The 26,055-nt window shown below is 45.8% G+C and overlaps 2 pseudogenes across 4 annotated transcripts; one reads left to right on the top strand and one right to left on the bottom strand.

The window, feature by feature from the left end:
• Positions 1-1,265: 1,265 nt before the first annotated feature.
• FKBP9P1 (FKBP prolyl isomerase 9 pseudogene 1) lies at positions 1,266-24,759 on the bottom strand (annotated as a pseudogene). 4 transcript variants are annotated; one of them, NR_003949.1, is made up of 6 exons: positions 24,718-24,759; positions 19,195-19,340; positions 11,506-11,692; positions 7,971-8,116; positions 5,364-5,527; positions 1,266-3,017 (listed from the first exon to the last, which is right to left on the bottom strand). The product of NR_003949.1 is annotated as an FKBP prolyl isomerase 9 pseudogene 1, transcript variant 4 (transcript). The 4 variants fall into 4 exon arrangements; NR_027339.1 differs by lacking the exons at positions 11,506-11,692; positions 19,195-19,340; positions 24,718-24,759 and adding an exon at positions 9,174-9,652; NR_027342.1 differs by lacking the exons at positions 11,506-11,692; positions 19,195-19,340; positions 24,718-24,759 and adding an exon at positions 9,105-9,493.
• Positions 6,169-6,273, top strand: RNU6-389P (RNA, U6 small nuclear 389, pseudogene; annotated as a pseudogene).
• Positions 24,760-26,055: the final 1,296 nt, after the last annotated feature.

The following is a 26,055-nucleotide window of genomic DNA, read 5'->3' on the forward strand; positions in this document are numbered from 1 at the left end:
TTACATTGTAATATATAATGAAATAATTATATAACTCACATGATGTAGAATCAGTGAAAGTCCTGAGCTTGTTTTCCTTCAACTAGACAGCTCCATCTGGGGGTGATGGGAGACAGGGACATATCATCAGGCATTAGATTCTCATAAGGAGAGCACAACCTAGATCTCCAATGTGTGCAGCTTACAGTAGGATGTGGTTCACGCTCCTATGAGAATCTAATGGTGCTGTTGACCTAACAGGAGGCAGAGGTCAGGTGGTAATGTAAGTGATGGGGGGCGGCTGTAAATACAGATGAAGCTTTGCTTGCTCACTTGCCGCTCACCTCCTGCTGTGTGCTCTGGTTCCTAATAGGCCATGGACTGGTACCGGTCCATGGCCTGGGGGTTGGGGACCCTTGTGTTAACCAATACTTTTTATGTTTATTTTTTGGTAACACTTTCCACTTATCTTCTTGATTCTTGGATCAAATGATCCACCCACCTCAGCCTCCCAAAGTGCTGGGATTACAGACATGAGCCACTGCACATGGCCAACATTTGCTTTTTAACAGCAACTGTATGTATATATAATACATTTATTTTATGTATATTAATATATATTAAAATAATTGCTTTTAAATATATAATTGCACTACACACACACACAGTTTCTCTATACATGTGCCAGTAATTCTCCATTTGCTCCCACCCACCCCATCCCTACCTCAGATTCATTCTCCACCTTTCTCTGCACCCAAGAGGCTGACCTCTGAGAACTCCAGTCTCTGAGCTCCTCTTACCCTCTGGCTTCCAACATGGTTCCACTAATGGGAGCCAGTGGCAGGCATCAGAGAATGGGGGCACAGAGGGGATGGGGCATTTGTCCCTCGCTCTGCTGCAGTGTCAGCCGTACTGTCAGATGCAGCTGGCTGCATCCCTCTGTGACGCCTCCAGGTAGCCCTTCCTGTGCTGCTCCCACTGCCTCCTCTTGAGCTCTCAGGCCCTGGTGGTAGCAGCCTCCTGCGGTGGCCAACACTGCTGTCACTGGCACTCAACAGCCTCAGTTCCCCCAGCCTCGCCCACACCCCTCTAAACAGTCCCTTCTTTAGCTGCTCTTCAGGAGTCCCAGAGGAGGGCCAGGACCCTGACTGACACTCCCTATAAGTAGAGTGTGCTCCCTCAGTAACTGCAGTGAAGTCCTGCTGTTTTCATCAAGGGGATTCTGACTGCATGGTGCATTCTCATAAGTCTTCAGCCTTCCAATAAAACATCAGAAAACCAGATAATATAATTCAACATTTTATATCAGAAAAGATCAGCTTTCCAACATTTATTCCATGGAATGAGTGCACAGCATTTTCATGAACTACCTCAGGGCTACATCAGTACAAAATAGTTTAAATTAGTAAAATAAAGTAGTTTCAAAGGGAAATCATTGATGACTTCAGGATAAGTGCCACCACCATTTGGGAACAGAGGATAGAAGGTAGCCATGTGGTTATTCCATGATGCAGGAATCAGGCCGGCAGGTGGACTGTCATTGCTGTCTTGCAGCAGCTGGCCTCTGCCTTCAGGGTACCACCGTCTCCAGGACACAAATGGGCAGCAGAAAAATGTCACCTTGTTGATGCTCAGCAGCTCATCTATTGGGACAAAACTTCCATCTCGGCCAAGGGAAATACTCTGTTGAGTGACCAGCGGGGCCCAGCCCCCAGCCCTATTTATCTCATCAATATGGTTCAGGGAAGATAAAAAAGAGTGTTCTATGGGATAGAAAGGTGGGAATGACAAAAAACTAAGTGGCTAGGCATGGTGATTCATGCCTGTAATCCCAACACTTTGGGAGGCCGAGGTGGGCGGATCACGAGGTCGAGATTGAGACCATCCTGGCCAACACGGTGAAACCCCGTCTCTACCAAAAATACAAAAATTAGCGGGGCGTGGTGGTGCACACCTGTAGTCCTAGCTACTCAGGAGGCTGAGACAGGAGAATCGCTTGAATACGGGAGGCGGAGGCTGCAGTGAGCCGAGACAGTGCTGCAGTGAGCCGAGATGGCACCACTGCACTCCAGCCTGGCGACAAACGGAGACTCTGCCTCCAAAAAAAAAAAAAAAAAAAAAAGAAAGGAAAAGCTAAGCAGATGACTTATGTGGCAAATGAGGAATCAAATTCTCTATTTGTGGTCTGAGATGCCTTTTCCTGGCCCAGTTTTCTGTCCAAAAGGCTCTTTTAACCTCCAAGATATACACTATTAATGGTAGGCCCATAGTGGGGCGGGGTGTGATGAGCTGGAAAAGCATGATGTGCGTGTGCGTGTGCGGGGGTGGGGTCATCATCAGAATTTGCACAGGCTGCTGGGAAGAGCCATGGCTGTCTGCTGGGAACTCTGCTGGGGCAAGCAAGCCCTTTGACTCTCCTGCCCATCTCAAGAATATTTCTAAAATGTTTTAACCAGCAAGTTAAAAAAAAATTTAACCCTCTTTATATAGATACCCTGGACACTTTTTCTTATGGTTCCTCCAAGATGATTATAACTTCCGTCTGACACTATATATTCTTTTAATAACAAAATTTCCCAGAAGGTTCACAAATCATGGTTGGCAGTGCAGCCTTTTCAATACTGGACACATCCCATGCTAAGGCCCTCTGCACAGATTTTGTTTACTATCACTGGCGATCAGCCTAAACTTCTCACCCCATATATCAACCCACCCCGATGTGTACACCAGGTACTATGTGACCCACCTACTACTGGCTAATGATGCAACTTCTGAAAGACCCTTGCACCCTCACTGCACGTTCTGCCACACAGTTGGCTTGGTGTCACGTACTCCCTGGCACCATCTGGTTCGTGCCAGGTTTAGAGTTCATCCTGTTTGGCTTCCTGGTCTTTGAGTTTAAATTCCTCAGCTGTGACCTTCCCATCTCCATTCCGGTCCTGGTTGGTGAACATATTCTTCACAATCAGCTCAGCATCAAAGCCAGGAGCGAGTTTCCCTTTGCCAGATGCCACCTGGGCGTGAATGTACTCTGAGAACTGGAAAAGAAGGGGACAGGAAAGACCATGAGTTCAGCTGCCATGAACGCCAGGCCTGGGGCCAGAAACAGAGCAGTCTGGGGGTGACAGGGCTGGAACTTGAGTCTGGGCTACCAACACAGACAAGATCTTTTTGGCAGCTATATGACCTACGATCTGTGTTTTGTTTTGTTTTTTTCTCTAAATGCAGGTGAAAAACCCTTGTACTAAATGACTCCCAGAGCCCTTATTACTCAGGTAGCCAATACCCAGCAGCCGTCAGAGCTATCCCTTCTCCCAACTCGGTTCCCCACCAAAGGCTGACCCCCATGACCACCCAAGACTGTAAGAACATTCTTGGATGCATGCATTCATTCATATGATCAAAACATATGGTCTACTATGTGCTGAGCACACTGTTCTAGATCTTGAAATATATCAATACACAAACAAACAAACACCCTGCCCCTGTGATGCTTGCATTCTAGTGGAAACAGACAATTAGACATGAACATAAGAATAGGTAAATTACACATTAAGTTACAAAGTGAAATGCTCCAGAAAAAAATCAAAAAGCGGAGCTCAGTAAGGAAGGGAGAAAGGGATGAAGTGTTGAATTCAGTGGTCAGGATAAAACTTTAAGGAGAAGGGAAGATTTGTGCAAAGGCTTGAAAGATGAGAAGGAAAGGGCCGAACAAGTTATCTGGGGTAGATGTCTCCTGAGCAGAGATGGCAGCCGGTGCCAGGGCTCAAGGTGGACGCATGCCTGGGTGGTCACAGACAGCACTGGAGGTTGGTGTGGCCGGGTAAAGTGGGCAGAGGGAGACAGCCGGCAAAGAGGTTACAGCGAGCAGAAAGTGCAGGGTCTTCACAGGCCACTGTGAGGCCCTGTAGACAGGGGCCTCTGCAGGTCTGACCCAGCTTCTGTGTGAGAACGGCCACTGTGAGGGCAGGAGGAGCTTCATGAACACCACTGCTGTGATGTGACCCGGGAAAGGGATGACAGGCCCCGGGCTAAGATGCTACAGGGTGGGGGTGGTAAGAAGTGTCAGGTTCTGCGTGTGCTCTCAAGGTAGAGCTGGAATGATTTCCTGAGGACCATTACGGCCTACGAGAGAAAGAGGAGTGAGAGATCACCGAGTGCTCTCGCCTGAGCCACTGGAGGCCAGTGATGCCACTGACTGCGACGGGAAAGGCTTTGGGTAAAGCAGGCCCCAAGCGGGGTGTGCGGGTGGATAGCAGGGGTTCCGTAAATGAGGACATCAAGCAGGCAGCTGAACACATGAGTGTGAAGTGGAGAGAGAAGACTGGACTGGAGCTACAAATCCAGACGCCATCAGGATATGGACCCGATAAGACCACGGAGCGAGTGACTTAAAGACAGAGAAAAGAACAGAGGTCAAGACTTAGCCCGGGGTACTCCAACATGAAGCGATCAGGGACAAGAGGCCTGAGAGGGACGTACCAGGGAGGTAGAAGGAACACCATGAAGTGTGGTGTCCTGGAAGCCAGAGAAAGATGCATCCTGTAGGGGAATCAGCTGTGTTGAAGTTAAGAGGAGCGTGAGAGCTGACCACTGGATTCCGCGATACGGAAGACATTGGCCACCCTGGCAAGGTCAGGCTCAGAGGCATAGAGGGACAAATGCCAGAAAGGAGTGGGTTTAGGAGAGAATGGGAGGAGAGGAATTGGAGGCAGAAAGGACACACAATTCTTTTGAAGTTTTTGCTGTAAAGGAAGGAAAGCAATGAAAGAAACAGACACATCCAGGGAAGGGAAAATAATAGCACATTTGTATGCAAATGAGAAAGATCCAGAAGTGCTGATGATGTGGAGAGAGAGAGGAAAAGGCTGGAGGATGCGCTTCAATAGCAGATGTGGAAGAGGCAGGGAGCTGGAATTCCCCAGGGGTGGGACAGAACAGACGGTTCTATTGCCCAGCTTCACAAAGAGGAGTGTGGTCCTGGCTCAAACAACTGAGTAGCTGTGTGACCCTGGACAAGTCATTTACCTTCTCTGTGCAGTTTCTTCTAAAAAACAGCTGCTGTGAGGGCCAAATCAGAGAATACACTCAGCACATACAGGCAGTCGTTGAGCACCCAGTAACGAGAACTAAATGCAGACTGTGTGCGCTGGAATCAAGCCCTACACCTCTTAGGGAATCGGTTTCTTCAGAGAGGAATGGTGAGCTTCCATCAAGAGGGTGTGTGTAAAAGCGCTTGGCACACAAGTGTGCTGGTCATCTCACAAGCCCTCCAGCCAGCTGGCCTCACCCTTAGAAGGCCTCACCTTCAGAACCGGCCCCACAGCCTCACCAGGCTCCCTGAGCTCTTCGGTCCCACCTTCCTACAGAGGCCAGTTAGTTACCTCTTCCAGGAGGACTTCTCCGTTGCCATCCTTGTCAATTTCTTCAAAAAGGTTGGGTGACACCTCACCATTCCATATGAACATGTACCCCTCGGGAAGGCCAGCCACCAGCTCCAGCAGCTCAATGTCAAACACTAATACGGCACTGCCGGGCACTTCTCCATCTGTCCAGGTGACAGGAGCGGGAGGCGGTGTCAGCCGGCAGGCAGCAGTCAAGCCCAACAACCAGCACCCACCCCGACCTCCAGCAGCCTCACTCAGGGTGGGACTTCTGACCAAAGCAAGAAAGCGGAGCAGAGGCTAGTCACCTTCTCACTGTAGGCAGTGGCCCGTTAATGACTCACGAAATCAGTTTAGAGGGTGGTGACCAGCGTTTAGTTATTTTTTAAATTAAGGAATAGAATAGAGGCCAGGCATGGTGGCTCACGCCTATAATTCCAGCACTTTGGGAGGCCGACTCGGGCGGATCACTTGAGATTAGGAGTTCAAGACCAGCCTGGCCAACATGGTGAAACTCCATCTCTACGAAAAATACAAAAATTAGCTGGTGTGGTGGTGGGCACCTGTAGTCCCAGCTACTCGGGAAGCTGAGGCATGAGAATTGCTTGAACCAGGGAGGCAAACATCGCAGTGAGCCGAGATCACGCCATTGCACTTCAGCCTGGGTGACCGAGTGAGACTCCATCTCAAAAAAAAAAAAAAAAAAAAAAAGGAACAGAATAAACAGAATACTTTGTACCTGTGGAAAAGATAGGTATTGTGTCATGAAACTTGAGTTTAAATTTTATATATAAAACTAAAAGTAATGCTCACTTTAGCAACACATACTAAAATTGGAACCATACTGAGAAGAATAGCATGACCTCCATGCAAACAGGACATGCAAATTTGTGATGTGTTGATTAAAAAGAAAGAAAGAAATGTGTATATGTGTAACTTGTATGTTTATGTAGGATACAGATTGGGAAATAAAATGTATTTCTTACTGTGTGTCTTGTGGAAAAAAGTTTGAAAGCTGCTTGTAGAGACTACAATACAATGGTAAAACTTTTAAGTAAATCTAACAGCAGAACTTTTAGAATCTGAACAATATGCCTGAAGATGATGATCCAAGATTTGACTGTAAGCACAAATTCAAGAATAGTGTATACAGTATAGGCCCAAAGAAGTTATCTAAGTATGGACTATATAAAGGTAATGTGCATTATTCCAAATTATTATATTTTATCTAGATTATATGTTATATATAATATGCTATGTATTATAATTATTAATAATACATCACAGAAAAAGTCTTAAAGAATGTACAACAATTTTTTTTTTTTCTGAGATGGAGTCTTGCCCTGTCGCCAGGCTGCAGTACAGTGGCATGATCTCGGCTCACTGCAAGCTCCACCTCCCGGGTTCACACGATTCTCCTGCCTCAGCCTCCCAAGTAGCTGGGATTATAGGTGCCCACCACCATGCCCAGCTAATTTTTTGTACTTTTAGTAGAGACGGGGTTTCACCGTGTTAACCAGGATGGTCTCCATCTCCTGACCTCGTGATCTGCCCACCTCGGCATCCCAAAGTGCTGGGATTACAGGCATGAGCCACCGCACCCGGCCAGAATATACAACAATTTTTAAAGGGTTTCTTCTGGGATTGGTAGGAAGAACAATGTACTTTACAATTCTTTTATGGGGAAAAAATATCAATCCACAGTGCCTATCATTGTTACCAGTTAGCTCTTCCTAGCTCCTCCATGTCCAGATATCAGCAGTGTGAAAACACTGAAAAGAAGCGGTTCCTGGGGCCAGGCGCAGTGGCTCACACTGATAACCCCAGTGCTTTGGGAGGCCTAAGCAGGAGCATCGCTTGAGCCCAGGAGTTAAGACCAGCATGGGAAAGATAGCGAGACTCTGTCTCTAAAAAATAAAAAATTAGCCAGGCGAGGTGGTGCATGCCTGTAGTCCCAGCTACTCGGGAGACTGAGGTGGGAAGATTGCTTGAGCCCAGGAGTTCAAGGCTGCAGTTAGCCATGATGGTGCCACTGCACTCCAGCCTGGGTGACAGAGTGAGACCCTGTCTCTGAAAAAAAAAAAGTTATTGAATCCCCATGTGGAGGACACATTGTGGCTGAAATGATGGAGTAAAACATAACCACTGTGAGGATGAGGTAAAGCCAGTATTTCAAGAACTTGCAACTAATCTCTCCCAAAGGAAACTGTCTTGGACAGCCTACAGGCTCAGAAGTGAAAAGCAACGGCCTACAGCATTCCACCTGTCCCAGGAAACAGTTCCAGAAGGACGTGCTCAGTCTGACCCCAGAGAAACCTCCCGGACAGCTCCCCTGGGGACACCTCCCACACATGGGTCTGAAGATCCAAGATTTATTTCACTCAAACTGGTTCTTTCTCAAGAGGGTAATGGAGCATTGACGTGGCTCACTGAATTCACAGGCGTCTCCAAACAAAAATACTAAATAATTTTTAAAAAATAGAAACCACACACTCTGGGTATTACATGTAAGAAGCATGCTGTGATTCTAACTATGGCACCCCAAAAAGCACAAAATTCAGATAGTAAGCGGGCCCCCAACACCCTTGAATAGCGTTGCTTACTCACCCACGCCAGCTTCCCCATAGCCCAGGTGAGGCGGAATGATCACTGTCCGTTTCTCGCCAACGCACATCTCTCTGAGACCCATGTCCATCCCCAACACAACTTGCCCAGATCCCAGAACAATACTGTAAGTTTTGCCTAAATTCCACCTAAAATGAAACAGAAGAGCCTCATGTTAGGTCACCAACCCACTGGCACTGAGAGTGTTCCTATGAGAAGAACACATCACTCCTAGGGTATTTCTACCAAAGAAATGCAAATCCCTATCTAATCATGAGGAAACATCAGACAAAAACAAATTGGGGCACATGCTGAAAAATGTCTGGCTGTCATCTTCAAAACTGTCAAGGCCATGAAAATCCAGGCAAGACTGTGGAAGTTCCAGAGTGGAGAAGCATAGTGGAATGGGGTCCTTTTTGCTTGAGCCCAGGAGGTGGAGGCTGCAGTGAGCCAAGATCGTGCCCCTGCACTCCAGCCTGGGAGACAGAGTGAGACCCTGTCTCAAAAACAAAAAACAAAACAAAAAACCCTGGCTTTTGGATTCAGCAAGACCTGAGATGGATTCCTGGTTCTGCCACTTAATTTGACCCTGAGAAATGTAATCTCTCAGTTACTTTATCTATGAAACGGAGACAACAAATATAGCTATCTCACAGGGACATTTTAAGTCGCAAATAACATGTTATGCTTGGCACAGTGGAGAGGAAGTAAAAAGGGCTCAATAAATGTTTGGCCTTGAGGTGTAAAGTGTTTATGTCTGTAACAGTCTAAGACTAAAAAAAAAAAAAAAAGACCACCAAGAGTTTAATTATCCTTGATGGCCATGGGCCTCAGGAAGCCAGTTAAAAAAAAGTTTGCTCTATCACTTCGGTCACTACTAAAAATAAATCTACTCCAAAATCTATGCCATTCCTATCACTTCCTAAAGGCAAACAGTGTTTATGTTCTTTACTCCAAGGAGAAAAGCCCCCTGACCCCCCTTGATGCCCATGAGCACTGGGGACAACATGGACGGGTGCCCCTTTGGGTCATATCCTCTTCTCAGGCTTCCCGACCTCCCCTGGGCCCAGGGCAGCCGCTTCTTTCCCTCCTCCAGCTGATTACCAGCAAACCAAGACAGGGTTTGTGTTTTCCCACCTGGGAGGAACCCAAAACAAAGCCAACTCAGGGATGGCTTTGGGGAGGGAGCCAACTCCCACTGCCTGCCTTTTTCTGGGGCTACTCCAGTTGCAAAGTCTTATGACAGAATATTCCAGAACTCAGTCATCCAGGAACGCATGTTTCTTCTTCCTCCTTGAGGCCAGTTTAAACACGCACGCGTAAGAAAATCCTCCAAGCAAACAATTTGTTGTCATGTGTCATCTCTGAACACACCACTCATTCTTTTTCCTCGGGTCCTGTGATTTTCTTTCTTCTCTCTTGGGCAGTGTTTCTCTCATACACGGTCCTCACTCCCCCTGCATGCTTCCTGGCCCCATCCACCGCCGGCCTGCAGCTTCCTGCCTGCTTCACCCTCTCCGGCTCACTCCCACTCCTCTCCTCCCTTCTAGGCAGCAGCTGCTGCCTTAGTCCTGATGAATGGGGCCCAGCCCACACGGGGCTCTAGCTGGGACCAGATAGGCAGGTGCTGGCCAAGCTTTCCATTAGCCCACTATTCTGAAGCTCACACCAGGAAGACACCAGCAGGGACGCCAGCCGCTACTCTTCTGCTGCAGATTTACATGTAATACAGAGGCTCTCAGAGTACAAAATGCACTTCCTGATAAGGAGCTCTGGCTCATGTGGCTCCTCAGTGCTCTGCCAGGATGTTATGAGTCCTCCAAACACAAGCAGGAGGCAGGGAGACTGACTCTCCCCGCCCCACGTGAGAAGCAGATCCTGGAGCCTCTGAGAAGGAATTCCTTTGTTCATTCCCCACACCCACTTCCCCTTTCCTCAGCCTCAGGATCAGCGGACAGGAATATGAACATCAGCAGGAGCAGTGACAGCAGCCACGGACCTTACAGACCCTTCTAACCTCATGGACCATTTTCACTCTTAGGAGCTCACTTGATCCACAAAAGCACTACAAGCCATGCCCCTTCCCTGCTGCCCTGCCTCCCGCTAGCTTCCAATAGTCAGTGGTTGGGATTTCTTTGCAAGGTCTGTTGTAAGCCAGGTCCCTGTACATCTGGGCCCTGGAAGCCTAGCACATATTTCACTGATTCTAAAATGCTTATTTTTTCACAGTTTAACCTTTGTATAATTAGGATACATTTTATGACCGACAGTATGTCATCAATTAGCGTTTTTACTTGGTCAGAGATACATGAAATGTTTCCATCACGCCCTTTAGAGTTGTTGAAATACATTAAATGCATTAGCATACAGGATCCCATACCGAGAGGGAGAGCTCTGAAGAGTATATCCATAGGGTCTTTTCTTTTTCTTTCTTTTTGGAGACAGAGTCTCACTCTGTTGCTCAGGCTGCAGTGCAGCAGCGCTATCTCGGCTCACTACAACCTCTACCTCCCAGATTCAAGCGATTCTCCTGCCTCAGCCTCATGAGTAGCTGGTATTACATTTGCCCGCCACTATACCCGGCTAATTTTTGTATTTTTAGTAGAGACGGGGTTTCACCAAGTTAGCCAGGATGGTCTTGATCTCTTGACCTCGTGATCTGCCCACCTTGGCCTGCCAAAGTGCTAGGATTACAGGCATGAGCCACTGCACCCAGCCTCTGTGCATCAATTTTTAAAGAAAGCAGTTCGGCTGGGCATGATGGCTCAAATCTGTAACTCCAGCACTTTGGGAGGCCAAGAGGGGAGGATCATTTGAGGTCAGGAGTTCGAGACCAGCCTGGGCAACATAGTGAGACCCCCATCTCTAAAAAAATTTAAAAAATTAGCCTGGGTCAGGTGCAGTGACTTACACCTCTAATCCTACCACTTTGGGAAACTGAGGCAGGAGGATCACCTGAACCCAGGAGTTTGAGACCAGCCAGGGCAACATGGCAAAACCTTCTCTCTGCTAAAAAGTAAACAAAATTAGCCAAGTATAGTGGTGCGTGCCTGCAATCCCAGCTACTTGGGAGGCTGAGGCGGGAGGATCACTTGAACCTGGAAGGCAGAGGTTGCAGTGAGCCGAGATAGCACCACTGCACTCCAGCCTGGGTGAAAGAGTGAGACTTTGTCAAAAAAAAAGAAAAAAAAAGAAAGAAAGGAAGGAAAAAAAAGAGAAAGAAAGAGAAAGAAAGGAAAGAGGAAGGGAGGGAGGGAGCAAGGAAGGAAGGAAGGAAGGAAAGATAGCAGTTATACGATGAGATCTGCTTTTCAGAAAGACAATTTCATGGGGTGAAAAATGACCTGGAGCAGGGCAAGACCATCAATAGGAAACTCTTAACACAATGCACCTGAGCAGTGATGCAGCCACGAGCTATGCAGTGGGGCAGCATGGAGATAAAAGCTCTCAACCAGCATCTACCCAAGAGAGGAGGATGGTGGGAGCATGCAACTGTCACCCTCCAGGCTCACTCCCACACTATTCTGGTTGCCCTTACGTGGAGTCCAGCAGGGTCCCATCCAGAAGTGAGGCATTGTAGTGATATTTGAGGTAATCTCCCTTCTTACTCAGCACTGAGCAGTCGGGGGGTTTGTAGTGGGAGGTGATGCTGATGGAGTCCGAAGGGTTGTGGAAGTCGATCACATGGATGTCAAACACCAGCACAGCCAAGCTGGGGATATTCCCTAAAGGACAGACACAGGGAGTGAATGAATGACCCCTGCAGGCTGCAGCACATGGGCCTCCCCAGTATCACCAGGTATGTCCTCAAGGCCCTCCAAGTGAGGAAAACGGGCACCCAGATACAGAACCCTAGGAGGACTCCAAGACTGACGCTGAAAGGGCTGTTAGATGTAACCTCATCCTCATTTTACAGGTGGATAAATGGAGGCACAGATTTGCCCTGGGTCTCACAGCCTGTAATGAGCACAGTTTGGACTAAAATTCAAGACTATGGACTATTGCCCCATGGAATCGTTGAGCCTGAAAGATGAGTGGCTAAGTTGATCACAGATGAGGAAACTCAAACCCAGCCAAATTAATACTTGCCCCTCACCCACTGGAAGTAAGAGGTGGGGTGAGAAAATCAGCCGTAGAGTGAAATCACTCCAATGTCCTACCACTGCTCAAGAAAAACATAACATAAACTTCGTAAAGAAAAAGACATCTCTCCCCCAAAATTGGCCCCTTATGATCATACACCTAACAGTCACAAGGTGCTTTTAGAATACATCCTATTTGTTCTATACTAAATTATTTATTAACTTTTCCATAATTTCCACTTTTGAAGACAGTAGCTCACATCTGAATAATGTTTTACAGTTTGCCAAAGTATTTTTCACCTACATTTTCCCTTTAAATCCCTGCAGCAACCTTATGGGGTAGGCGTGGCCATAACCCCAGGAATTTAACGACAGCTTCCCAGGGGCGTGGGGGACACTTAAACATATGCATCAGTTGTAATACATCCCCCAGCCCAAATCATTTCAGAGAAGTTTAAATGTAAAATATTTTAAAATCATGTTACCTAGAGTCAAGGACATATTTTATTATCATCAGCATTTTACACATAAAAAAACCAACTCAGGTTAGGTATGGTGGTGGCTCATGCCTATAATCTCAACTCTGGGAGGCCAAGGTGGCAGGATCACTTGAGGCCAGGGGTTTGAGACCAGCCTAGGCAACACAGCCAAATGTCTCTACAAAAAAATTAGCTGGGCGTGGTGGTGAGCACTTGTAGTCCCAGATACTCGGGAGGTTGAGGCAGGAGGATTGCTTGAGGCCAGGAGGTCAAGGCTACAGTGAGTTAGGATTGCACCACTGTACTCTAGCCTGGGCAACAGAGTGAGACTCCGTCCTCAAAAAAGAAAGAAAGAAAGAAAAGAAAAATTCAGACACGATATTACTTATTCAAGAGAATAACACAGCTAATGACAAAATTCAGATAGAGATACACAAACTCCAACAGTCCCTCCTTACCTCCCGTCCGTCCCCACACGTACTTTTCTGTGTCTGCTTCTTGATTGGTCTCTCTCCTATCTCTCTCTAATAGAAACACACTCACGCTCATATTTAATAGGCGTTTATTGAGTACCAGGCATTCTTCTAAATTAAACATGTATTGTTTAATTCTCATTAAAATCCTGAGAAAATGGAGGTACAAATTTTGGGGCTGGCCAAAGTTAAAGGTAATAATTTGAGAAGCGTGTGCTTTAATAGCAGAACACAGGTGCCTGCTACTCACTCAAAACAGGGGCTGCTGGTGTGGGTGGAGTGGGGTGCAGGCTCCTTCCCACAGGAACCAGGAAGTACAGCCTGCCATTGGCCAGAAGGCTGCTCAAAGCCAGGCCACGGATGGCTCTGTGTGGGAAGCTAACACACATGGACAGGGTGGGTGTCTGCAGAGGCAGATCTATGGTTTCTCAACCTTGGTAACCTGTTAAAAATCACCTGGGAATGAACCCGAAAACATTATGCTAAGTGAAAGAAGCCAGACACAAAAGGCCACATACTGTAGGATTCCAGGGATATGGAAACCTCCGGCATAAGCAAATCCATACAGACAAGAAATAGACTACCTGTTGCCAGCGTGGGGGCAGTGGATGGATGAGGACAGGGTACGGAGAGTGACCGCTGATAGTTATGGGTTACTTTTTGGAGTGATGAAACTGTGCTGGAATTAGGTAGAGGTAATGGTTATGTTACCTGGTTAATATACTAAAAACAACTAAATTGTAAACTTTAACATGATTACTTTTATAGGATGTGAATTATATTTCAAGAAAACATTAAATAAAAATATCTTTCTTGGGTATATATACAAAAGAATTGAAGCTGGAGATGCGAACAGATATTTGTACACTCATATTCACAGAAGCATTAAGCATTATTCACAATAGACAAAAAGCACAAACAGCCTCAGTGTTCATCACCAGACGATCTGATCAACAAAATGTAGTATATACATCCAATGGAATATTCATTCAGCAATAAAAAGGAATGAAATTTATTAGCCAGAAAAGAGGAATTATTATTTTTTTTTTGAGATGATGTCTTGCTCTGTCATCCAGGCTAGAGTGCATTGGCGTGTTCTCAGCTCACTGCAACCTCTGTCCCCCGGGTTCAAGCGATTTCCCTGCCTCAGCTGAGATTACAGATGCGTACCACCACACCTGGCTAATTTTTGTGTTTTTAGTAGAGACAAGGTTTCACCATGTTGGCCAGGCTGATCTTGAACTCCTGACCTCAGATTATCCACCTGCTTCAGCCTCCCAAAGTGCTGGGATTACAGGCGTGAGCCACCGCGCCCAGCTTGAAATTTTGATAAATGCTAAAATACAAATAGACCTTGAAAACATTATGCTAAGTAAAATAAGACAGACACAGAGAGAGAAATATTGTATGATTCCACTCAAGTGAGGCACTTAGAATAGGCAAGTTGGTAGAGACAGAAAGAAAGGTGGTTGCCAGAGGTTGATAGGAGGGAGGAATCGGGAGTTATTGTGTAATGGGTTTATGTTGGGGATGATGAAAGAGTTCTGAGTGTAGATGATAGTAATGGTTATACAACATTGTGAATATATTTGATGCCACTAAACTGTACACTTAAAATGGTTAACAAGGTAAAGATGTTAAGTATATTTTACCACAAATTTTAAAAACTTCTAACACTGAGCTAAGCAGTCACCAAATTTTGTCAATTCAAATATAATCTCCCCTCCAAGATGCATTCAGGTGCAGGGCCTTCTCCAGGGCAAAAAGGAATGCATCTGGAACCACCCACATCCCTGGAATCTGATGTCAGCAGTCAAATGAACTCAGCCTCTCAGGCCCCGAGGATTCCAGGAACAAGAATTCCAACCAGTGTAGAGGTCGATTCACACCCAGTCAAGGAACCATGTAGCATCAGGTGAGTATGTCAGCTTCTAGGAAGTTAACGTGAGTCAGTCTCCCAGGTGCCTGATAACCTCTGGGGCACACACATTATTGAGGGCGTCAACAAGGAAACACTCTCTGTGTGCGTAGGAAGTTTTGTTTGTGTTTCTTTCTGCTGAATCCCTAACACTGTGAGCAGGGCCTGGTCATGAAGAAACTCAATAAATCTTTGACGGATGGATAGATGGAGTTTCTCGGCCTGCAAAAATGAAGATCAGAGCCTTGAACCATAGACCCCACCTACCCCAGGCAGCACCAAGGCCTCGAACCTCTATCCCTCTATCTTGCTCTGACTTCCACAAAGCTATTTGTAGATTAAGTATAGAAATGAGTGCTGACCAGCAAATGGGCAGAAATAGTCCAACGTGGCTCCAACACCAACCTCCTCTCTGTATAAACCCTTAACCAATGCAGAAGTCATCATTCTGTTCTCACCATGAGGATGCCTCCCTCAGAAGAGATACAGATGAGGAAAACTTAAAAGCGGCCAATAGCCCACCCAAGAAACTCTGCAGCTCCTGCTGGGGGTGGGTTTCCTCTGCTGGGGGTGGGTTTCCTCTGCGGGGGGTGGGTTTCCTCTGCGGAGAGTCAGTTTCCTCTGAAGGGGGTGGGTTTCCTCTGAAGGGGGTGGGTTTCCTCTGAGGGGGTGGGTTTCTTCTGAGGGGAGTGGGTTTCCTCTGAGGAAGGTGGGTTTCCTCTGAGCGGGTGTGTTTCCTCTGAGAGCTCTAGGACTTCTAGTTTGAGGTCTCGGTTCTCCACATATGGGTATCAACAAGTCACTACCTAATGGGGACTCATTCTTTCTGTCTGTCTAGGACACATATGGGTCAGAGAGCCCTGGGTCCAATTCCAGCTCCATCATGGATTAGCTATTGTGGCCTTGGACACACGGGTGGAACTCTCTGGGCCTCATTATATTTCTAAACAATGAGGGTAATGATGCCTCAGAAGACTGTTTCCAGGTTTGAATGAGTTCATGTGCAAGAAGTCCCAGACACACAGTGGGTAAAATGTAATTTATTAACTTTCCTCTCTTTCCTAAAAGGGTGCTCAAAAGGTAATCTGGAAGTTGAGTAACAGCAAACCATCGATGAAGTGATGCTTACACATCCTCGCAGGCAGAATCCATTCCCCACTTTGAGGCTGCAAACCCATCCAAGTGCCCTAATTTCAGGGCTGACCCATGGAACAAAGCAGATGGCAGAAAGATCCAGAACCTCTCCCAGGAGGCCTACCCTTTCCCCTCCACCAATCTTGCAGGGGAAAATGGCTGTGACAGAATGAAATGCTGATAGAGGCTGAGAGCACACGGTCAGCCCACAATTCATTCCTTCCACAAATATTTGCCAAACATTCACAATGTGCCTGGCCCTGTGGTATGCAGTGAAGAAGCCACTAAGCAGACAGCTTCAGCATCCTGACCCCTCTCGGGTCAGCCCCTCAGGGATCAGCATGAGCTCCTATGTAACCCCCACAAAGAGGCCAAGGGTGCTGATCAGGAGAGGACAGAGGTAGACTCCACTCAAGAGCACTTGGGGTTTATACCTCAGGGTCACTCAGGGTGCCCTCCTCCCACAGCAACGTGATTCAGGATGAAGCAGTCTCATTGCCCAGAAAATTTATGAGCCTTCGGCTGCTTCCCAGAGGCTTATATAATTCTTTGCAGAGCTCTGTCTCATACTTGATAGAAAGCCAAGAGGAAAAAAAGTAATTTAAGCAAATGTTTTCCATCAATGCATTATTTTCAAAGAAAGGAAAGATTAGTCCTCAGGCCATAAAGAAACAAGAACACTCAGAAAGTATTTATCTGTTTCTGTTTATATTTGACTAGAAGTAGAAATCCACACGATAAAAAGCAATAGAGCATCAAGACACTAGACAAGCAGGATGTGTGAAGAAAGGCCTGTCGAATGGATCTTAAGCTGTGATCTGTTGTGGTTTCATCAATCAGAAATTTAAGTCAGGGAGAAAAAAACATTTCTCCATTGTACAACCTACCTTCCAACCAACTTGACGTTTCTTGGATCCTCTGGGATGAACACTACTGGGAAAACTCTCAAGATACATATGATGTATCAACAAAAAAACAGAACAGAACTAACAAAATAAATGTACAGCCAGCAAGGCCAGCCTCCATCAGCAAAAGAATACGAAAACAAAATAAATACTGCATCAACTATTCCTAAGCGAGGGAGCAGCCATTAAAATACATAGCATAGAAAGTTGTTCACAACGTATCTGTTGTTCACCACAAATTGGATGAAGAGAGAAATCACAAAGTAATACGCATAGACAATCCCGTGTTTGTCCGTATTGATTAGTGTAGGTGGGCATTTTTTTTTTAAACCTATACATACACTCAAAGGTACAGAAGGACATTCACTTCATGGCTGCATTTGTTTCCTACTGTTGCTGCAGCAAAATACCACAAACCTGTTGGCTTAAAACAACGCAAACGGATTCCCCTAATTCTGGAAGGCAGAAGCATAAATTCAAGGTATTGTTAGGGATATGTGTTCCTTTTGGAGGCTGCCGGGGAGAATGTGTTTCCATCTTTTCCAGCCTCTCGGGGCCACCTTCATTCCCTGACAGGGTCCTCCTTCTGTATCTTCTAAGTCAGCAGTTTAGCACTTTTTCCCCGGTCTGACCGCCTGCCTCCCTTTTACAAAGACTGTTGCAAGTATTTTGAGGCCACCTGGATAATCTAGGATACTATTCCTATCTCAAGATCCTTTATCAAATCTGTAAAGTCCCTTTTATTAAGGTAACAGGAGGCTAGGCATGGTGGCTCACACCTGTCATCCCAGCACTTCAGAAGGCCAAGGTGGGAGGATTGCTTGAGCTCAGGAGTTCCAGACAGGCCTGGGAAACATAGCAAGACCATGTCTGTCTTTACAAAAAAAAAAAAAAAATTGCTTTTGAATTAGCCGTGCATGGTAGCACACACATGTAGTCCTAGCTACTCAGGAGGCTGATGCAGGAGGATCACTTTAACACAGAAGCTGGAGGCTGCAGTGAGTTAGGAGCTTATCTTACCACCGCACTCCAGCCTGGGCAACAGAACAAGACTTTGTCTCAAAACAAAATAAAGTAAGGTAACATACTCACAGGTTCTGGGGATTAGAACATAGATACTTGGAGGGGCTGAATATTCTGCCTACCAGATTAAGATTAACAATATTTATTTCTGGCATGGCATGGCGCTCACATCTATAATCCCAGCACTTTGGGAAGCCAAGGTGGGCAGATCACTTGAGGCCAGGAGTTTGAAACTAGCCTGGCCAACACAGTGAAACCCCGTCTCCACTGAAAATTTAAAAAAAAATTAGCCAGGCGTGGTGGCACATGCCTGTAGTCCCAGCTACTTGGGAGGCTAAGGCATGAGACTCACCTGAACCCAGGAGGCAGAGGTTGCAGTGAGCCAAGATCGTGCCACTGTACTCCAGACTGGGTGACAGAATGAGACTCAAAAAAAAAAAAAAAAAAAGAAAAAAAGGAAAAAAAATATTTATTTCTGGGTGGCAGGATTTCTTTGCTTAACTGTATTTTCTTTTCCTAAGTCAACATGTATGATTTGTGTAACTTTTAAAAGGAAGTGTGGTATGAGGGTGACAAAAATGTTCTAAAACAGGATTATAGTGATGGCTACATAACCCACTAAATGTTCTAAAAGTCACTAAATTGTATACTTAAATGGGTGAATTCTATAATACATAAAACAAAAACCAAAGAGGGGCTTTTGCACTTACTTTCAATGGCTCAGCCTAAAATAAATAAATAAATATAAAAAGAGATCAAATATAGCAAAATGTTAACAATTGGCAACACAAAGTGGAATTCACTGTAACGTGCTTTCGACTTTGGTGTAGGATTTAACATTTTCAAAAGGTAAAGGAAAATGGGCAGAGAAACAAGGAGAAATAACAGGACAACTCTAGAAACTAAACCTATTTGGGGATTCCAGTCTTAAGCTGGACTTTAGCTTCAATATTTTGGCTCTCAAGAAGCTCTGTGCAGGGTGCGGTTGTGCGTGCCTGTAGTGCCAGCTACTCCGAAGGCTGAGGCAAGAGGATCACTTGAGGCCAAGAGTTCAGGCCATAGTACAAGATGATCACACACTACACTTTCCAGCCTGTTCGACAGAGGGAGACCCTATCTCAAAAAGAAAGAAGAAAAAGAAAAAGAAGCCCTGTTCCAAGCAATGTGGAAGCAGCCACAGTTAGTGAGGAAGGCAGGTGAGGCTGATGCTCACCTCTTCCTTCCTCTCCATACCCCAGGTGAGGGGGGACCACAATCCTTCGCTTCTCTCCAATGCAAACACCAAGTAGACCTTCATCCATCCCAGGAATCACGTAGCCCTGCCCAATGTACGTGTCAAACGTGCGGTTCTGAGAGTAGCTAGAAAAGAAGAAAGGAAAGAAAGAGGTCATTCATGAGGGCCTCCACAGCAGCTGTGCAAATTAGTTGGGAAAGAGATGCAAAGGCACACAGAGGCCTCCAGACTCCGGAACAGCGTAAACCACAGTATCTGATGACACAGCCAGGAAACATGCTCCCCTGGAAGGGTAAATAGGAACCCCCACACAGCATGTGAACAGCCACCTGTAGAGACACGCCGTGTGGCCCTCCAGTTTCGTCAGGTTATGAATGCAGTGTGGGTTATGAGAAGCACCACACAGAAATGGAGCTAATGTAAATTGAACGCTATACTTTCTTTTTCTGAGGCAAGGTCTCACTCTGTCACCCAGGCTGGTGTGCAGTGGCACCATCATAGACAGCTCACTGCAGCCTCAACCTCCCAGGCTCAAGCAATCCTCCCACCTCAGCCTCCCAAGTAGCTGAGACTACAAGCACATGCTACCACACCTAGGTAATAAATTTTTTTTTTTGTAGAGATGGGGTCCCACTATGTTGCTCAGCCTGGTCTTGAGCTCCTGGATCACGTGATCCTCCTGCCTCGGCCTCCCAAAGTGCTGGGTTGACAGGCATGAGCCACCGTGCCCAGCCTGTACACTCTATAACCACGTCAAGTTAATGAAAACAATCAAGCTCTCAACCAGCCTGGGCAACATGGCAAAACTCTGTCACTACAAAATTACAAAACTTAGCTGGATGTGGTGGCACACACCTATAGTCCCAGCTACTCAGGAGGCTGAAGTCAGAGGACTGCTTGTGCCGGAGAGGTTGAGGTTGCAGTGAGCCAAGATCACAAGACTGCACTCCAGCGTGGGTGACAGAGTGAGACCCTATCTTGAAAACAAAAAACAGAATCGAACGTAGCCCTTATCAGAAACTACGAATGTGTCACAAGGATAATGTCTCCAATATCTAAAGAGAAAATATCTGCATATGTGGGACATGAATATTCTGTTTTTATTTTCTAATTACTTTTTAATTTTTTTTTTTTTTTGAGACAGGGTCTTGCTCTGTCTCCCAGGCTGGAGTGAAGTGGTCTGGTCTCAGCTCACTGCAGCCTCAACCTCCTGGGCTCAAGTGATCCTTCCACCTCAGCCCCTCAAGTGGCTGGGGCTACAGCATTCAATACCATGCCTGGCTCATTTTTGTATTTTTAGTAGAGACAGGGTTTCACCACATTGCCCAGGTTGGTCTCGAACTCCTGGGCTCAAGCGATCTGCCTGCGCTGGCCTCCGAAAGTGTGGAATTACAGGCCTGAGCCATAGCACCCAGCCTGACATGAAGATTCCGATCGCCAGGAAAGCAGCATACACACTGAGAGTAATGAATTCCGCACTCTCCACCACAGCCCGACAAAAGGCCCCCACTATCATCCCTGCTCACCCCGCCACCCTGGTGAATACTTGGGTTTTCCAAGTGCTCCTGGCAGGAGCCCCAAGTCCACTCAGTGGAGAGATCCAGCCTGTGTGTAAACTGCCGAGTGAGTCTATTACCATGAGTTTGGTAAAAAGAGGAATCAATTCCCCACAGCATAATGATTCCAGAATAAAATAATAAAACTTCATATGCCACAAGTCCACTATCAAACTGGACCACGTGACCTGCACCCCTTCCCCACACCACCTGGTGCCGATGAGGCAGAAAGCCTGTCCTGAAAGAGCCAATCGGTCCTGCCCTTCCCTCACCTCAAAGCCAGGGCATGATGCCCTGGAGAAGAGGGACCGCCAAGCGGGGCCAGGCTGATACACAGGCAGAGCTGTGGGGGTTCTCCCTTCTCAATACCCCTCAGAGACCACAAAGTCATGGGGCACAAAGAAAGAATCACAACAGATGTCTCTCCTCACCCAGGAAGCAGGAGATTGTCCACATAAACTCCCAGACGAGGCTGTGAGTCCCCCTTCCCACCCACTGAGAACAGCACCCCACGCTGAGCAGCTCCAGGCCTCCTCCTGGTGCACTGGCCAGGAAGGCCTGGAGGGGAACACAGCAGGGAAGAGGAGGACCGTGTCGGCTCCCAGCATGCTTCAGCCAGAGCAGGGCTCACCCTCCCGAGGTTCCCACCTGCAGGACCCTGGGGATCACCAGCAATGTGCAGCCACTGCCAGACATTCAGGGAAGAGAAGGATACCTACGTGGTGGGCTCCCGACAAAGGGACACCAAGTAGTGAGAGAGATGGCAGGTACCCACAGCGGGGATTGCTGCCCACTGGAATAGTTGCAAAGATTCCATGGCAGAGGGGAGATAGCAGACACCGAAGGCTGTGGGATCTGCCTAAGGGAAGAGCAATGGTCTGGCAGCAAGGGCCAAGCCGAGAGGCAGGATATAAGAGCCTCAGAAGGAGAGACGGAATGGCGGGGTGGGCTTGAATTGTAGTGAATGCTGAATAAAAGTTAAAAACAAGTAAATGCAAAACCATCCTGTTCCCCAATAGAAAAGCAAAGTCGTCAGTCCTCCCCTAAACTAACTTATAAGTTCTTTTATCTTTTCTTTTTTTTGAGACACAGTCTCACTCTGTCGCTGAGGCTGGAATGCAATGGTAAGATCTTGGCTCACTGCAACCTCCGTCTCCCGGGTTCAAGCGATTCTCCTGCCTCAGCCTCCCAAGTAGTTGGGGTTACAGGCATGCACCACCACACTCAGCTAATTTTTGTATTTTTGGTAGAGACGGGGTTTCACCATGTTGGCCAGGCTGGTCTTGAACTCCTGTCTTCAAGTGATCCACCTGCCTTGGCCTCCCAAAGTGCTGGGATTACAGGTGTAAGCCATCATGCCTGGCCTAAGCCACCACGGCTGGCCCAAACTAACTTACAAATTTTAAAGCAATTCCAATCAAAATCCTGGGGGTGTGTATCTGGTGGTGGTAGGGAGCTCAGTAAAGTAATGCTAAAATTCATCTGAAAAAAGAAATAATTAAGAATGCTGTTTTTAAGGTGCAGTATATAGCAAGCTATCATTCTTGTAAAAAATTAAGAAGGAAATATATACATATATGTACTTCATTATATATGTATGGAACACCTATGAAATTAATAACACTGGGCCAGGGGCAGTGGGTTACACCTATAATCCCAGCACTTTGGGAGGCCGAGGTGGGTGATCACTTGAGGTCAGGAGTTCATGACCAGTCCGGCCTAACATGTTGAAACCCTATCTCTACTAAAAATACTAAAAAAATTAGCCGGGCCTGGTGGCATGTGCCTGTAATCCCAGCTACTCGGGAGGCTGAGGGCAGAAGAATCGCTTGAACCTGGGAGGCAGAGGTTGCAGTGAGCCGAGATCGTACCATTGCACTCCAGCCTGGGCAAAGAAGCGAGGCTCCGTCTCAGAAAAAAAAAAAGAAAGAAAGAAAGAAAAAGAAATTAATAACACTGGTTCCCTACGAAGAGGGGAGGTGGGACAAGGATAGGAGGGAAATTTGTCATTGTATACCTTTTCATACTTCCAGGGTTTTAAATCATGTCAATGCATCACTTAGTAGAAAAAAAAGTTATTTTTTAAAAAAGAAAAAGAATGCCCTCTACTATACAAATTAAAAAGCTAACACTAGTTAATCATAGTTAAAGGTGTGATGCTGCCCTAGGAATAGATAGAAGGTAAAAGATAAAAATTCTACACAAAGACTCAAAAGTACATATAAGAATTTAGTTCATAACAAAAATCACCTTTTAGGGCAGTGAGGAAATGATAGAGTCATTCATGACGGATGTTGGAAAAACTAGCTAACCATATGGAAAAAAATAAAGTTAAATCCTTCCTGTCACAGTGATACCACAATAAATTCCAGATGGATTAAAGACTTAAATATGAAAGCATTTATGAGCATAGAGAGAAACTGCAGAACGTTGTTAACACTGGTTATCTCATGGTAGTGAGAATGGAAGGGGCTGACAGGAAATTTACATTTTTTGCTATACATTTTTGCATTGTTTCCATTATGCAATTAGGACATATTATCTCTGGCCTGGCACGGTGGCTCATGCCTGTAATCCCAGCACTTTGAGAGGCCCAGGCGAGTGGATCACTTGAGGCCGGGAGTTTGATACCAGCCAGGCCGACATGGTGAAACCTCATCTCTACTAAAAATACAAAAAAATTAGTCGGGCAAATTTTTTTGCATCACTACAGGTGATGGTGCACACCTGTAGTCCCAGCTACTCTGGAGGCTGAGGCAGAAGAATTGCTTGAACCTGGGAGGTGGAGGTTGCAGTGGGCTGCAATCACATCACTGCACTCCAGCCTGGGCAGCAGAGTGAGACTCTGTCTCAAAAAAAAAGAACATATTACTTTTGAAAATAAAAATTCTAATAAAGAATATCTTAAAGAATAGAAAAAAAAAACCATTAAAAGGCTTGAGGGAAATACAAGCAAACATTTATATACTCTAGGAAGAGGACAGACTTTGTAACAAGTCACCAAAGCCAGGAACCATAATGAGGAAGTCTAATGTATTTAACAACATAAAAGGTTTACAGTTAAATGGGCCAAAAATCAACATAACCAAAATTAACAAACAAATAAATTGAGGAAAATGAGGAAAATGTTTTTAATAATATGCAGCCATAAAATAATTAATATTTTTAATGTGTAGAGCTCTTCAAATCAACAAGAAACAGACAAATGCCAATGCCCTAAATAGAAAAATAGGCAAAGGACCCGAACAGGTAGTTCACAAAAGAAGGTACTCAAATAAACACCCAAAGGAATTTCAATCCCAATAGCAATAGAAAATTCAGATTAAAACCACAGGTATCATTGTTTTCTCCTATAAATTAGCCAAGATTATTTTTAAATGATACCCAGTGTTACTGAATTTGTAGGGAATGGGATACTCTTAAACTGTGATGCTGAGTAAAACCTTCCTTGAGGGCAACTTGGTAGTATGTATCAAAAGGTATAAAAATACACATAACCACTGGGCACAGTGGCTCATGCCTGTAATCCCAGCACTTTGGGAGGCCGAGGCGGGCAGATCACTTGAGGTCAGGAGTTTGACACCAGCCTGGCCAACGTGGCAAAACCCTGTCTCTATCAAAAATACAAAAATTAGCCTGGTGTGGTGACAGGTGCCTGTAATCCTAGCTACTCGGGAGGCTGAGGCAGGAGAATCACTTGAACCCAGCAGGTGGAGGTTGCAGTGAGCCGAGGTCACACCACTGCACTCCAGCCTGGGTGACAAAGCAAGATACTGTCTCAAAAAAAAAGGCAGGGCGCGGTGGCTCACACCTATAATCTCAACACTTTGGGAGGCCGAGGCGGGCAGATCACCTGAGGTCAGGAGTTCAAGACCAGCCTGGCCAATATGATGGAACCCCTATCTCTACTAAAAATACAAAATTAGCTGGGAGTGGTGGCTCATACCTGTAATCCCAGCTATTCAGGAGGCTGAGACACGAGAATCGCTTGAACCCACGAGATGGAGGTTGCAGTGTACTGAGATCACGCCATTGCACTCCAGCCTGGGCAAGAAGAGCGAAACTCCGTCTCAAAACACACACACACACACACACACACACACACACACACATAACCTTTGACCCAGAGATTCTTCTAGCGATGTATCCCAGGGAAACAATTAATCATATATTTTAAGATTTCCCTACAAAAATAATTACTGCAGCCTTAAGTGTCAAAATACAGGAAACATACAGGACAAACAACAAGGATTGATTACTAAATATAGGCAAATCTATACAATGAAATATATGCAGCTGTTAGAATGGGCTAGATCCCACTGTATTAAAATGGAAAGCTCTTGAAACCTAAGAAAACTGTGGTTCCATTATATGAACAGAAATCTGGTGTACACAGAAAAGTGGTCTTTCAATTGGAAATATAATTCCAGGGAATAAAGAACAGAACCACACTGGAATGTAACAAAGAATAATACACATATGCACTAAATGATTTTTTTTTGGTAACAGAAAAAGATAAAAACAACTCAAATATTCATCAATAGGGGAATGGTTATCTAAATACAATATACTCACCCAATGGGACACCCATGTAGATGTAAAAAATAAAGGATTTCTCTCTATGTATTAGTATGGAAAAATCCCAGAGAAACAAAAATCAAGGAGAACACCACCTTGTTCCCTAGTAATACTATATTCTGAAAGCCATATAATTTAAAGAGAAGAAAATAACATTTGTGTTTGCTTATATTTGCATTTTAAAAAGTCCACACATTAGGCTGGGCACAGTGGCTCACGACTATAATCCCAGCACTTTGGGAGGCTGCATTGGGTGGATCACCTGAGGTCAGGAGTTCAAGACCAGCCTGGCCAATATGGTGAAACCCCATTTCTACTAAAAATACAAAAATTAGCCAGGCGTGGTGGTGTGTGCCTGTAACCCCAGCTACTTGGGAGGCTGAGGCAGGGGAATCACTTGAACCTGTGAGGTGGAGGTTGCAGTGAGCCAAGATTGTGCCACTGCACTGCAGCCTGGGTGACAGAGTGAGACTCTGCCTCAAAAAAAAAAAAAATCCAGACACTGGAAAAATTAAAAATAGAAACCAATAAAGATGGTTAACTCTAAGGGGTAGGGGAGACAGGGAGGTTAGGCAGACAGGAACAGGTATACAACATATCTTTTCTTTTTTTTTTTTTTGAGACAGAGTCTCGCACTGTTGCCCAGGCTGGAGTGCAGTGGTGTGATCTCAGCTCACTGCAACCTCCGCCTCCTGGGTTCAAGTCA

This window comes from Homo sapiens, chromosome 7 (genome assembly GCF_000001405.40).
Source record: "Homo sapiens chromosome 7, GRCh38.p14 Primary Assembly".
NCBI classification, from domain to species: domain Eukaryota; kingdom Metazoa; phylum Chordata; class Mammalia; order Primates; family Hominidae; genus Homo; species Homo sapiens.